Here is a 14744-nt window from a genome sequence, read left to right as displayed (position 1 = left end):
GTTTACTTGGCACATACAGATCTTTGAGTTTTTCTAAAACTCTTTCCTGATTTTTGGCATTTATTTGGCTTGGAAGGTTCTGGCGAGGCAAATGAGAAAGGTGAGCAGAAAGGACTGGTGCAATCAATCATCCTATACCAGGCACACCCAGTGATATTAAAAGCTCAATGACATGGGACCTCACCAATGTCTCACTAACTTAAGAGCGTTTGGGAGGCCTGGGCAATTGTTGGCTGCGGCACAAGCTCTCTCAGCAGGCATCGACAGCACAAACTACCAGGCGGACTACTGCCTTTCCTTCTGGACTGCACACATTGAAATGTCAATGAAATTGAATGAAATACCTGCTGACAGCGTTTACTGTTCAGACTTATTGCTGCAATAATACTAGGGATAGGGTGGGGGTAAGAAGTTACCGAATTTGAGCAAAAACAAACCTGGTTTTACACTCACAGTTGTAGCTGTTCCAGCTACACTGAATGTGCATGTGAAATCAGAAGAGATCATGTGATGAACATTCCATTCTTGGCAATATAATATTTCCAAAAAATGCAACTTAAAAGAACTGCTATCTTGAAAGAGCTTCTATCTCAGGTGCTAGCACCAGAAACAAATGCCCTTCATCCTCTGAAAGCATATGAGAACACATTCCGCCATACCTCACCTCCAGCTGAGCCCAGTCACTAGCAGAAGTGCAAGCCTCTCCAGCCATCTGTTAATACCAGAACACTCATTCCCAAACTGTTCCTGGACATAATCTGATCAGACACAATCCCCCGGAACTCTTTCCCTCCTGCACCCTTCCACTGTGTCCTCTGGATTTCCCATTCAAAGATGAGCAAACTCACCTATATCTTCAGTCTCAATGAGCTCTGAAGGTTCTCTCTGCTTCCTCATCCTAATTGAAATCTGGCTATCTCTGGAAGACTGCAAATTCCCTGAAACCCTCTCAGGTGGAAGGTGATCATGGCTCTCCATCCAGTGGCTCACAGAGCCAGGTGATAGAGTATTCTCCTTACTCCTCAATAACACTTTCAAATCATTATTCTGAAGCAGAGAATAAAAATCCCTGTTCCTCTGAGCTCATGCCATTGAATCATCCCTTTTTCTCCTTCTCTACCTTGGTCCCAAGGTATATACAAAATCTAACAATGTCCTAATTGGCCTCCTTGTTTCTTTCTAGTCCAGGCTCCATGCAGTAGCAATAGTGACCTTTTAAAATTGCCAATCAGACCGTGTCACTCTTCTGCTTTATACACCTCACTGGCTCCCTGATGGACATAAAACAAAATCTGCTCCTTCCTGAGGCTCATGAGTCTCTGCATGCCCTGGTGCCTGCCCACTCTCCCAGTCTCACCACCTGTGACACTCCTCAAGCTGGCTCACTCTGCTCCAGGGCAGGGCCTCCTTTCCCTTCCTGAAACACACTTTGCTCTTCTCTGCCTCGGTGAGACAGCCATCCTCCATGAAAATGTGACTTGTGAAAGATGAAAAAAATCACCAGATACCAGATGGCTTAGGAATAGTCCTTAAGAGTATGGCAAGGGGAGAAAAACCTCTACCACTGGGGCAAAGTTTAAAAAAAGCCAGGTTTGCAAGCCAAATCATGGTACACACAGAAACAACAATGAATCACTTAGTTTCACAAGGAAACACAAGTTTGTCCTACTGAAACTAAAAGTGCTGTCACTAGTAATAGAAAACTGGGAGGCTTGTTGCAAAAATCAATTATTCCCAGTGGGAGTCAGGGCATGGATTCTAGCTTGAGACAAGGCCCCAAGGACGCAAATGAGGACTCCAACTCCTAAGGGATCTCAAGTCTGAAGATAATTCAAGTCTTATCAGGACTACCAATCTTTATCTGCTTAAACACACACACGCACACACACACACACACTCTCTCTCTCTCTACTCACCCTCACACTCTCCAAACCATTAAATGGTCCTAGAGATGGGAACTCAAAAACCCAATTACCATTTATGATCCACAGGCCACCTTACCCTCCCTGAGGCTTCCCTATACTCTTTCAATGAATGCCATTTCACAGACCAAGGGTACCTTGGAGTTTAGTTTCATTGCTATTTCCTTTTTCAGTTTCCATATCTGAAAAGTCACCATAGCATCTACCATTTACAAAAGCTTAAAAATTCACTGATTACTACAGCAACTTTCATGGGAAAACTTGTTGATTACTTCCATGAAGTAGCTACCAATTATCAATCCCATTTACAAAAAAGGAATAAGTACAAATAAGACAGTTGAGTGCTTTTTGGCAACATCAGGGATAGAAACAGGAAATACAACCCAATTTTTAAAATTTCATTAGAAAGTGTTTTTAAATGATCATGGCTATCAACAATTGATTTCAAGTATTTCTTTTTATTACTTATTATTTACTTGTATTTATTTTATTTACTTTAAAAAAATAGAGATGGGGTCTCACTGTTACCCAGGCTGGTCTCAAACTCCTGAGCTCAAGGGATCCTCCCATCTCGGCCTCCCAAAGTGCTGGGGTTGCAGGTGAGAGCCACCATGCCCAGCCTCAAGTATTTCTTGTAATCTCTTAGAGTAGGTGCTATAATCACCAGATGGATTAATAGGAAGGATAGATGACTGGAATAGCAGCAGCGGGGCTGCTGGCTAAGGTGTGGGTTGTTTCCACTCTATGAAATCCTGCATAGTACTAGCTTATCTAACTTCTAAATTTACACTATTTAGTATCTTATTATTTTGGATTCCAATATCTTCTTTTCTAAAGTCTTACAAAAAATATCAGTATTTATGACTTGACTGACCTTTTTATACTCCACTCTTCCCAGCAGTGTACAAAAAACCCACAACCAATTAGCAAAGGAAACACTAGGACCTCCAATTCATTGGGTGCTCTCATAGTCTCTACCGCTAGACTTGGTTTTACAATCATCTCTCCTGGCAATACAAACAGGATTCACATTCTTCACAAGGGCTAAAAAGAGGAGTGGTTAGAGGGCTCAACTTGCTGTAGCTCAATCACCCTGAGGTGAATAGGAGCCCCTAACATTTGCAGAATTCAGCTGATGAAGGATACAGTTTATCCAGAGGTAATTTGCTAGAAAAACAAGGCTTTTGGCATCTAAACCTCCAGTGCATCACAAACTTCCTGCTATTATCTAATAACACCCCCCAGCCATCACTGTTTCCATGGTAACCGACAGAGAAATAGCAGCCTGCCAAATGGCTTTTGTAGTTCCTTTTCCAGCTTGTTTTTTTCAGTATAGAATTAAAACTAGCTGGGAAAAGAACCAGACTAATCTTTGCAAACAGGAACACAATGTAGTTTGAAAAGTACAACTGGGTTTGGGACAAGAAGTATAGAAAACCTTTAATAATGCCAGCCTGATAGAATAAAAAAGGTCTACTGAAGTATATTTGATAAGCTTTATGACAGTCTTAAGACAATATAGCCTGACAACAGCCAGAATATAGATAAGGTGCCCTTCACTTAGTCTTTGATTTGAACTAAACAAAAAAGGAATCGGAATGAATGTAAAAGCAAGCTTAAACAAGTCTACTATGCCCCTGAGGAATGACAGTAATATCATTAAAGGAAAGGGTAATTTACTCTAAAATCAAAATGAATGAGCAGCACTTGGCAGACTTGGACCACAGGACAGTGAAAAAAAAAAACAAAAAACAAAAAACCGGCACCTTGGAGGAGTGAAATGTTTAATCCGAGAGATGATGTCTACATGAAGCTGACTGAGCTGATGCATGAATCAGAGGGCACTGGTGCTTACGAAACAAAGATCTCCTTACCGTCTCAGCACAGAGAGAAACTGTTAGGAATACAGTGTGTGGAACTGGGGCAGCTTTCAGTAGATCAGCAGTTAATGGAGATCTGCTCAAGGTGCCAGACTACAAAATAAACAGCTGCTGCAAGGGTGGAGGAATTTGAATTTTTAAAAAATCAAGACTATTTCTCTTTGAAAGTGGCCCAAAACAGACGCTTTTCTGTCTCAAAACTGCACATTTGAACAAAGTGCAGGAAATCTCATGACTCTTCCATGTCCGCCTGAGATGCGAAACTGTGACTCAAGTCAAATAGGCATTAACTTCTCCTCCGATGGGTCAAAGCTAATAGGAGTTTGAAAGATTCCCTCCCACAACCTCTAATAAACCCTGAACGTCTCGGTGACAGACATGAAAATTACAATCTGTAGTAGCACACTGAGATAGGTCTCTAAGAGTTACAGGAAGTCAGACTCCTACAAATCCCACACAGAAGACTAACCTAATTTTTACTTTTTAAATTATGCTTTACCTTGGGCTGTATGAATCATGAGTCATGTTCTCATCACCTGAGTTTATAAAGAAAAGTAGACAAAAATGTGCAATAATCGCTTCCTTTCAATCCTTTGGAAAAAAGGATTATTTATAAGATAAAGATGATGCACTTTAAGGTATATTTCCAAGGCCATCAACTCAAAGAAAGGGTTCTGCACTTCGAGTTTAGCTACATTTGTAGAGCCCCAGGTTTTTGGAAATCCGTTAGTGAGACCTGAAGGAATCTTCAAAAGTTTAAACTTGTATCCTGTTTACACAAAAATGGACTTTACAGGTTCTGGGGAAAAAAGGTCACTTTTTACTCATGTGTGATTATAATTTCAAACATATTAATATTCAATTTCCCAATCTTAAACAAAAGCCAGAATTGAGATGATATACAAAAACTGCATGAAATTCAATCATAGTTAAGACTAGGCCAGAAGCCAAAACTTACTACAGTCAACAACCTGAAGTACCAACATGTTTATATTTCTTCCCAAATCCCTTTCCTCAGGCAACTTTGTTAAAATCTCAGGCAAATTTTCTTACTTATTGGATCAGTATTTTAATCAAATCAGCTACCATCGTCATAGCGCAGATTCCCTTGCCACTGGCAGACAATTATGTGGACTTTACCACTTCTGAGTATTTCATGGCCTGTATTATCATTCATGTTCATCAAAATAGGCTCCAAGAAGGCTGAGGAGAAGAGAAAGCTACAGCATGGGGCACGGCAGGATAAAGCGCTGTTCCAAATGCTTGCCCACAGGAACAATGTATGTAGTAGTTATGCTCTCCATCTACATGTTACCCTATAACATAACTGATGTGTACTACCAAGAAATAGCTCTTGATCACCATATGTCATATCTTTATATGAGAAAATGAAGAAATTCAGCTCTCTGGAGGGGAGAAGAAACGGGGTATTTCTGGGCACCAGAATATTGTGAATGCATAATATTTGGAAATTGCTTGTACAGTAAAATGATTTATCCAAAAAGCATACTTAGGGAATTCTTAAGCTTCAAATCTATAAATAGGCCCAAATTTTTAAAAAGGGGCATGGTGGTGGTGAATATATGTGTGTAAAGAAACAGTAACTGAATACTTAAATACTGAGCAACAAAGAAAGTAAGTGTGAAGAACTAAAAACCATTATTATACCAAAGGCTATATATACTATAGCTTATTTGCCAATCAGGAGGCCAGAAGGATAACTCTAGGAGGAAGGCGCAGTGCTAGCATATGCTAGATGAGCTCCAGGAGGAGAAAGACAATTTCATCTTACTCATTCACTGCTACGGCCCCCGGTCTCAGGACCACTCCTGGCAACAAGCTGAGGTTCCATACATCCGGCTTGAGAAGAGGGTCTGAACTTAAATAATGAGACTGATACAGTGTCTCTCTACTATTTATGCAACAGGAGTCTTACTAAGGGCAGGATGAATTTTTCACACATGTGAACTTGGTATTTAACTGAGTGAAAGCTGTGTACAGAAGTATAATCATATCTAAAACAAATATAGCAAAAGCTGGTTTGTCTGATTCTCAAGTGGTACTCCTTGGTATATGAGAAGGCTGCTTGCCAATGTAACTGAAGGCTTAGAGAGCAAGTTCACTTAAAAAAACACCGGCAACTACCAATCCCCTAACAATGATCAAACTTTTTATGTAAACATAACCAAAGAAAGCCTAATCAATGGAAATTATACCAACAAAAGGTACTTAATGGCATATATGCAAAATCACACAATATGCTTTAAAAATACCATGCATGGAAACCCAATACACACCAGGAAAACACTCAGTCTGTTAACTGTATTCTTATGGAAGTATATCTGACGAAGAACTGACACAAGAACTAATAATGATGTGGTCTGGCTTAGGTCTATTCAAAAATCAGCCTGGGCCAGGTGCAGTGGCTCATGCCTGTAATCCCAGCACTTTGGGAGGCCGAGGTGGGCGAATCACCTGAGGTCAGGAGTTTGAGAACAGCCTGGCCAACATGGCAAAACCCCATCTCTCCTAAAAATACAAAAATTAGCCAGGGGTCCTGGCACACGCCTGTAATCCCAGCTACTCGGGAGGCTAACGCAAGTGAATCGCTTGAACTGGGGAGGCAGAGGTTGCAGTGAGCCGAGATCGTGCCACTTGCACTCCAGCCTGGGCGACAGAGTGAGACTCCCTCTCTAAAAAACAAGCAAACAAAAAAACAGCCTGTTGGTTGGCCTTCCACACCGACTGGGTCTGGTTTAACATTATAAGCTGAATGATCAGGAATGCTGGTTAGGAAGAGACACAAACACTGAAAATAAAATAATTGGCTCTTTTCTTGGCATTACTATCTTTCTTAGTCGTAAGGGACTACAGTTTTGATTTTTTAAAAAATTAATAACCCTAGTATTCCTCAAATGTCACATAATTGAGGTAAGCGCTGGGGTGGAAACTGAAGTTATTATATCGTTATTAATTTTTTGGTCACTGTTTTTCTACCTGAATGTGGACAGATCACCATCTCTGATAATCTGGCTTGAGTTTCCTCTCTCTGAAAGAGTTAGATTCACCTGTATTTCAGGAGAAGGCTAAGAAGGAACAAACATATGTGAATGCTCCCTTTCAGAAAAGTGGCCATATTACCATGAAGAACACTTAAAATAAAGGTTTCTTCAGGGACGTCCTCCTTAGCCTCCTTCCTCTTCCTTAGCCTCCCACTAGCTTGAGTCATTCTTCTAAGGCTTTCCTTCACAGCATTGATCACAATTGCAATTATTTGAGTAATAGGCAATATTTATCTACCCCAACTAGACTGTATCTCCAGGAGGACAGGGAGTTTATCATCAATGAAATGAGCCGCCAGCACCTAGCATAAGGCAGCCAATTCTTGTTGGACTTGTAAATGAATGAAGGAGCACTTTGGAAGTCAAAAGTTAACCATGGGGAAGTAGTCACTTGAAAATGTTTCATCAACAAAATGTGTATTCCCATGCTCGAAATCTGAAAGTAGAAGCTTTTAGGAGTTCTACTTTTTCCACAGACTAATAAGAGGCAGGAAGAGCATAAGAAAAAGAGAATACTCACTGGTGGTGGCTTCTTTCTCATCTCAAATGTGCGTGTGGCACCAAAACTTAGTGAAGCAATAATGGGGCACCTCCCTAGTGAGGGTTCATCATCACTGTGCCAGTCCACGCTGTCCTTCTCATTGCGATAAAGATTGCAGAGTAAGGAGTTGAAGGTGTGGCCAGTGTTCTCTTCAATGCGGTTCTTTAGTGTGCGCAGCACAGGGTGCCACTGCAATCCACAGACCAAGAAAAGGGCAAGACAGTCGCATTACACACAAAATGACAGCCGCATGGAAAAACAGAAAAGAAAGGGCAAAATCAGCCAAGTTATAACCAGGGCATGTAATAAGCAAACCACATGGAATGCAATAAACAGAAGGCAAGAAAAGTAGTTTAATTCCCTCCCATCATTTCTATTTTGAAGCAAGTTGATCTCTGCAATTTTATAAAAGTACTAAATTTAGTACAGCAATATCATGAGGACCAGAATCTATCTAACCATCTCATCCTTTCCATGTCAAATACATGGCCTTTGCCATGTATTTTCATCAGTATCTTCAGGGCAGTGACCTTGGTAAGTCATTAAGGTGGTAAGTGGAGCAGCAAAGCCGATATGTCACTAGGTAGTCAGCAGACCCAGACTGAAGCCTGAAGAGTGAAACAACTTTCCTGCTGGGTGGCCCTCTGTTCGTTCTATTCCTATTTTATCCTGATGGGGAGAAGTGCTTTTTAAAAATGATCTTTAATATTTCCAGAGTGGCTAACTTCCAAAAAACATAACCTAAAGAGTAAAAACATTCTTTTCTAAAGAATGAGAATCATGATATGCTCTTGACAAGTATATGAGCCATCAACTACAGAAGACTTAAACAGGTTCCACGGCCCTGCCTCCTGGGCACTGGGTTCACTGATGTAATTCATATTTGGAACTGTCTTGCCATGTATATTACAGGAAGCTATGACCCCTGACCTTAGATTGTACTTGGGAGCTACAAACAACATAGCTTATATTGGTTCTTGCTAGAATGCTTTTCTCCCAGAAATCTCGAGTACTTTACAAAGCTTCCTTTAGAACAGTGGTTCTCAAATTTTACATGAGAAATTATTGAGGAGCCCAAAGAACTTTTGTTTATATGGGTTACAGCCGTCAGTTTTTATGATATTTAAAATTAAAACTAAAAAAATTTTCAACTACTGGTTAATTCATTTAAAATGCAAGGACAGGCCAGGCAACATGGCTCACACCTGTAATCCCAGTACTTTGGGAGGCCGAGGCGGGTGGATCACGAGGTCGGGAGTTCAAGACCAGCCTGGCCAATATGGTGAAACCCTGTCTCTACTAAAAATACAAAAATCAGCTGGGCATGGTGGCATGCGCCTGTAGTCCCAGCTACTCGGGAGGCTGAGGCAGAAGAATCACTTGAACCCGGGAGGCGGAGGCTGCAGTGAGCTGAGACTGTGCCACTGCACTCCAGCCTGGGTAACAGAGCGAGACTCTGTCGCAAAAAAAAAAAAAAAAAAAAAAAAAATTAAATTAAAATAAAAAAAATGCAATCACAAATCCATTACATGTTAACATCAACATTTTAATGAAAAATAACTATAATTTCCAACACAAATAATTGAATAATTGATGAGAAGGGTGACACTGTTTTGCAAATTTTTAATATCTAAATTAATAGAAGAGAGCTGATTCTCATATTTGTTTCTGCATTCAATCTGTTAAAATAGGTTGTTTTTATTGAAGTATATGAAGGAAATTGGCTTCACATAGGTATGTAGTTTACAGCCTTTTCAAATAACTGTAGATATTCTTCTTTGATATTATACCAAAACTCAACAAGTACTGGTTTCCTTTTTTTTTTTTTTTTTCCTGAGACCACGTCAATCTTTTAATTGGTATAGAAACTACTTTTATTTCAAGAGAGCCCTTGTGCTCTGGTTTGATTTTGTGCACAACATATACAAAATCTATGGCTGTTGAGTTAAGGTAGGATCAGAGTTAAAACTACCTGCCAAGATAGTTTTGGGATGAAATGACTATGTTTACCATCTGGAGAGCTATTTGCTCTCTAGAGGTGAGAGGAGTCCATACAATGTCTCTGCTCGGCGGGAGGGTGGAGCTGGCTGTCCGAGGAGGGGCGGCCATCTCCTCTGCACACTAGGTGCAGGTGGTGCGGCACTAGCTGGAAATCATGGAGCTGGAGTGAGACTGGCTGGAGAAGGTGGTGGTGCACTCAACTGGGAGAAGCCACTGTGGCTGGACTCCAGGCTCGTCATGGAACCTCTGAAATCCTCGGAGCCTATCACTTTGGCGTAGTACATCACTTTACAGTTGTGCGAAGAGATCTGCAGGGACGCGAGCACATCATCCACCTGGGGCAGGCTGCTGATGGTGCACACGGGCATGCTGTGGAATTTCCACTGCAGGATGCAGAGGCCCGGCCACGTGGTCACATGCGAGCCCTGCACGCCTTCTCCTTTGCAGATCAGAGGCAATTCCACCATGCTGTAGTCACGGCCCCACTGCCAGACTTTGTCTATGAGCTGCACATTGTTCCCACCTGGAGAGGTGGGGCCCCTAGGGAGTCCTTTTTGGGTGGCTGTGGCGACCTCTTGGAGTGATAGATGTTAAAGACAATGTCCCCTTTGTACATGTCAAAATTCCAAGTGGTGACTGAAGAGGCATCCACAATCTGAATGAGAATCTTGTGTGGGGCTCCTTTGAAGATGCTTGCAGAGTGGTAGATGGTCTCAGTCCAGAGCTTGAGGTCTTCATTCTCCAGCTCCTCCATGGTCCAGTAGAGAGATTTGGGGACCAGTCCACCCTCTGGCACTTTGCACATGCACTCTCCACTCAGGAAATCTGAAATAATCTATCAATGTAATCCAGCAGGCCTCCAGGACCCTGGTAGTCATTTCCTGCATAAATGAGGAATTTCCTTCTGGTGTTGTCATCAATAAATGGACTAACCAGCGTCCAGAGCACAGGAAATACCCTGGGTGACCGCAGGATGAGAAGTCGGCCCAGTCTCTTAGGGTAACTGGCCTTCACCACCTCGATGATCCACCGCAGCACTTTGACATCAGGTCTCCATAAGTGGCGCATGTTCACCCCTTCCAAGTCCGCCAGGCAGGTCCATGAGCTGATAGGCCAAACAAAGACTTTTGTATTCTCTTCACATCGCCTTAGCTCTTCTTCATTTATGGAGAGAACGTATCTCAGCAGGGCTTCCTCCCCGAGTGCTCTCACCAAGCCGTTGGTGTCCATCTGCCCCAGCCTGAGCATACAGAGGGGCCACCCATCTTTGTCGTGATGATGCCAGCCTCCCGTGTAGTAATTCTGAAGGACCTGTGGAACGGCCCAGGTAGCAAGAATGTAGTCTACCTGGTGCTGCTTCCTCCACGCCAAAGATTGACAAATGATCTCTCTGGCTTTGTCAATATTAAAATCCCATGCACATAGGAACTGAAGAATATGCTCATCTTTTGGAATTTCACCCTTGTGGGTCTCCTGGAGCCACCCGTGAAGTCTAATGAGACAGCTCTCCTGCAGCGGAGTCAAATCGCCCAGGTATCTCTTGATGTAGTCAGCATCTAGTTTGTTATCAGGGATGCCCACCACGGGCTCAGGTGCACTGGGGCTGCTGAGGGCATCGCCACTCAGCCCCTCCTTGAGGACAGCATCTGGGATGACAACAGCCATGGACGCTGCTTGTTTCTTGCAGGATGACGAAGATGTCTCTGAAGAGGGCGTGATGGAAGGTGGAGTCCAATGGGGCACAAAGGTTATGCCTCCTTCTAAATGGCGAAGGTAGTATTCAATAATTTTCTTTCCTTTTTTTAATATTGCTGGTATATTGTTTCATTGCAATTTTTTCCATGGTACTTTCAAAACCAAAGAAAGATTTAATATCTAAACTTGCAGACTGTTCAAAACGGGTCCAATCTTCATTTTCAGGGTGAACGGTATAGCAATTGGAAAATGTTTCATTATGACCCTCAATGTGCAAAGTACGTTCCCGAGAATTCAGTGAGTTCTTCTGGACAAAATAAACGTAATCAACTCCTGCAATCTTCTTCAGCAGTCTTGGTGCATCTACATCCAGCTTGCAGCGCCTTTCAATGACATGAACAGCCCCATCTTCACTCTTGAATTCATTCACAGTGTCACTGCCCATGAATGTCGGAATCAAAGGACACGTAGGGAACCTCCTTTCATAGGCAGCCATAATTAATTTGAAGGGGTATTTGTATACCCTCACTGGTGACTGGTATTTTTGCACCATGATTGTAATACAACAGCAATCCTTTCACACCTGTCTTGCCAAGGATAATCATTAAGTATGGTATTTTAAGCTGAATATGGTGAGAGGATATTAAAACTTACAAAACTGAATATTCTCAAGGAGCCCAAAGTCTAGTTCTTGTCAGAATGGCTGGGCCTGGGATGTGGGGTGGCGACGGGCGCTCATACCAGCAGCTCTGCGGAGCAGTCGCGGTTCCACTAACAGGTGCTGACTTCTTAAAGGTTAGTTGCAATATGGAATCTGAAACCATGTCAAACTTTTCATATTATTTTATATATAAAGCCACTGTCAGCCAGGGCAATAAACTGAGACCCCTCTCTATAAAAAATAAGCCAGGCACAGTGGCACGTTTGTTGTCCCAGCTACTTAGGAGGCTGAGGCAGGAGGATCGCTTGAGCCCAGGAGTTCAAGGCTGCAGTGATCTAGGATTGAGCCACTGTGCTCACTCTAGCCTGGGCAACAGAGCAAGACCCTGTGTCTCTAAAAAAAAAATGCTTTAAATAAAAAAAAATAATAAAGCCATTGGTCCAGCCTACACTTTGAATAAATCTTTAACCTTGTATGGTTTTGTAACATCAACCACTGGTCATCTGGAAAATATTAGTTCACTAAGTTACACAGATCTTCTAAATGCTGACACATTTCATTATAAAATAACAAAAAAAATTCTCATCCAACAATATTACCACTGATCTCAGCAGAAAAGCCTAAATAATGGGAAGAAGTCAGGCTCAAAGTGACTGTGATGGTTAATACTGAATGTCAACTTGATTGGATTGAAGGATACAAAGTATTGATCCTGGGTGTGTCTGTGAGGGTGTTGCAAAAAGAGATTAACATTTGAGTCAGTGGGCTAGGGAAGGCAGACCCACCCTTAATCTGGTGAGCACAATCTAATCAGCTGCCAGTGAATATAAAGCAGGCAGAAAAATGTGAAAAGGAGAGACTTGTCTAGCCTCCCAGCCTACGTCGTTCTCCCGTGCTGGGTGCTTCCTGCCCTCAAACATCGGACTCCAAGTTCTTCAGTTTTGGGACTCAGACTGGCTCTCCTTGCTCCTCGGCTTGCAGACAGCCTATTGTGGGATCTTGTGATTGTGTAATTAATACTTAATAAACTCCCCTTTATATATATACGTGTGTGTGTGTGTGTGTGTGTGTGTGTGTGTATCTATCCTATTAGTTCTGTCCCTCTAGAGAACCCTAATAGTGGCAGATACCAGTTTTCTAAAATTCTAATTTTTGCTTGAAAACCTAACTTTTATCATTAGTAAAAAAAATCTTGTCCATTGTTTTCCTTGAAGTGACATTCACGTCACTCATTTATGAGGAAATGTCTGCCAAATACTCAAGTTTGAATAACCACAGTCGGTCTGCCCGTTGTATTTTAAGCAAAAACAATCCACAACAAAAGTAGCTAGTTCAGCTTACAGCTCAAACAATCACACTTTAGTTTGTAGCTGGAGTACTTTAGGTACACTTTTAATTTCATTAAGAAGACTATTGGGAAGACACATACTCAAAGACCAAGATTTAATAAAATGAATAATGTTTACTACTTCATCAATAGACATTCTTAAATGAAACTGGCATTTTTTAAAGTTTACACTGGAAGCGCATGATGATGACGAACACAATGACTACTAGCAGAGTTTGGTGACAATGGCTTGATTCATGCTAAGGTGCTGGCAGCTTTATCCACCATTACCATCAGTGCAAACCCAACACAGTGAAAATACCATACAGACTTAGTATTATTATGAAAATAGTTTTACTTGTAGATTCCCAAAAAAGGTTTCATGAACCCTCTCCAGGGATCTACAGATTATACTCTAAGAACTGTTACTTTAGGGAACTCCTTGAATGTCTATTGCATTAGTCTGTTCTCATGCTGCTAATAAAGACATACCCAAGACTGGGTAATTTACCAACAAAAAGAGGTTCAATGGACTGACAGTTCCACATAGCTGCGGAGGCCTCACAATCAAGGCAGAAGACAAAGGAGGAGCAAAGTCACATCTTACATGGCAGCAGGCAAGAGCGCATGTGCAGGGAACTCCCATTTATAAAACCATCAGATCTCATGAGACTTATTCACTACCATGAGAACAGTAAGGGGGAAAATGCCCCCATGATTCAATTATCTCCACCTGGCCCTGCCCTTGATACACGGGGATTATTACAATTCAAGGTGAGACTTGCGTGGGGACACAGCCAAACCATATCATGTTATATGTTTCGCAGTGAAGAAACAGACGTTCAGCAAAGGAAGGAATATTATTGTTACTATTATTAAGTATATCCCATGGTTGTCAGGTAAAACTGCCAGGGAAGCTTACATAATCACTCAGCTTTACTCTGATGTGAAAACCATGGTTAAAGATGGAATTCCTTGTTGTGGATACTACATTATAATATTATATTCTAAGCAGAGGATTTTAAAAAATAAACAGCAAAAACAACAAATAGTTGGCTAATGGGACACCTGGGGAGACTCAAGAAGCCTCCAGAAGTTGGAAGTTTCTTTATCTCTTGTTCTCCTTTTTTATTGTGGTAGAAAAACACATAACATGAGATCCACACTCATAAAACAAAAATATTAAATAAACCTTTGTTCAAGAGAATAAATTCCAAAGTGAAATTCCAATAATAATGTCAGCAGGCTGTATTTCCTATTTACTTTACAGCTTTAAATTTATCTTCATAGCGATAAAGATCAGATGCTAGAATTACACGCTTAACAAGAAAAACAAGAATGTAAAGGAGGAAGATGGGCTTTTTTCTCCAATGTTACTGGGAATCTAATTAGCACTTCCCTGACTTGCTCAGGGACTGAATACTGAGATAGCATAAAGTTTGTGTTATGTTTCTAAGTAGGTATTTTTTTTCTGGGTTATTTTTGGTACTGAAACAGTGAGAAAAGGAAGAAAAAAGGGGATAATGAACTAGAGGATTAATTTAGACTCTCCAACCAATACTCTATATTCAGATGCCTCAGAACTGAATGTCTAAATTAAAATTCAGCATTATCTCACTGTTCAGTGAAGACATTTTATCCTTAAAAGACATTTT

The 14744-nt window shown here is 41.4% G+C and overlaps 1 protein-coding gene and 1 pseudogene across 2 annotated transcripts in view; both read right to left on the bottom strand.

Moving 5' to 3' along the window:
• ALKBH3 (alkB homolog 3, alpha-ketoglutarate dependent dioxygenase) overlaps positions 1-14744 on the bottom strand; it is a 39444-nt gene that overhangs the window by 11165 nt on the left and 13535 nt on the right. Inside the window, exon 8 of the mRNA NM_139178.4 lies at positions 7385-7594. Coding sequence (NP_631917.1) covers positions 7385-7594 — 210 coding nt within the window. The remainder of the gene's footprint in view (positions 1-7384; positions 7595-14744) is intronic.
• Positions 9222-11807, bottom strand: SEC14L1P1 (SEC14 like 1 pseudogene 1; annotated as a pseudogene). Its single transcript, NR_026952.1, has one exon. The product of NR_026952.1 is annotated as an SEC14 like 1 pseudogene 1 (transcript).

Source organism: Homo sapiens, chromosome 11 (genome assembly GCF_000001405.40).
Source record: "Homo sapiens chromosome 11, GRCh38.p14 Primary Assembly".
Lineage (NCBI taxonomy): Eukaryota > Metazoa > Chordata > Mammalia > Primates > Hominidae > Homo > Homo sapiens.
This window is presented reverse-complemented; position numbering and strand designations above follow the sequence as displayed.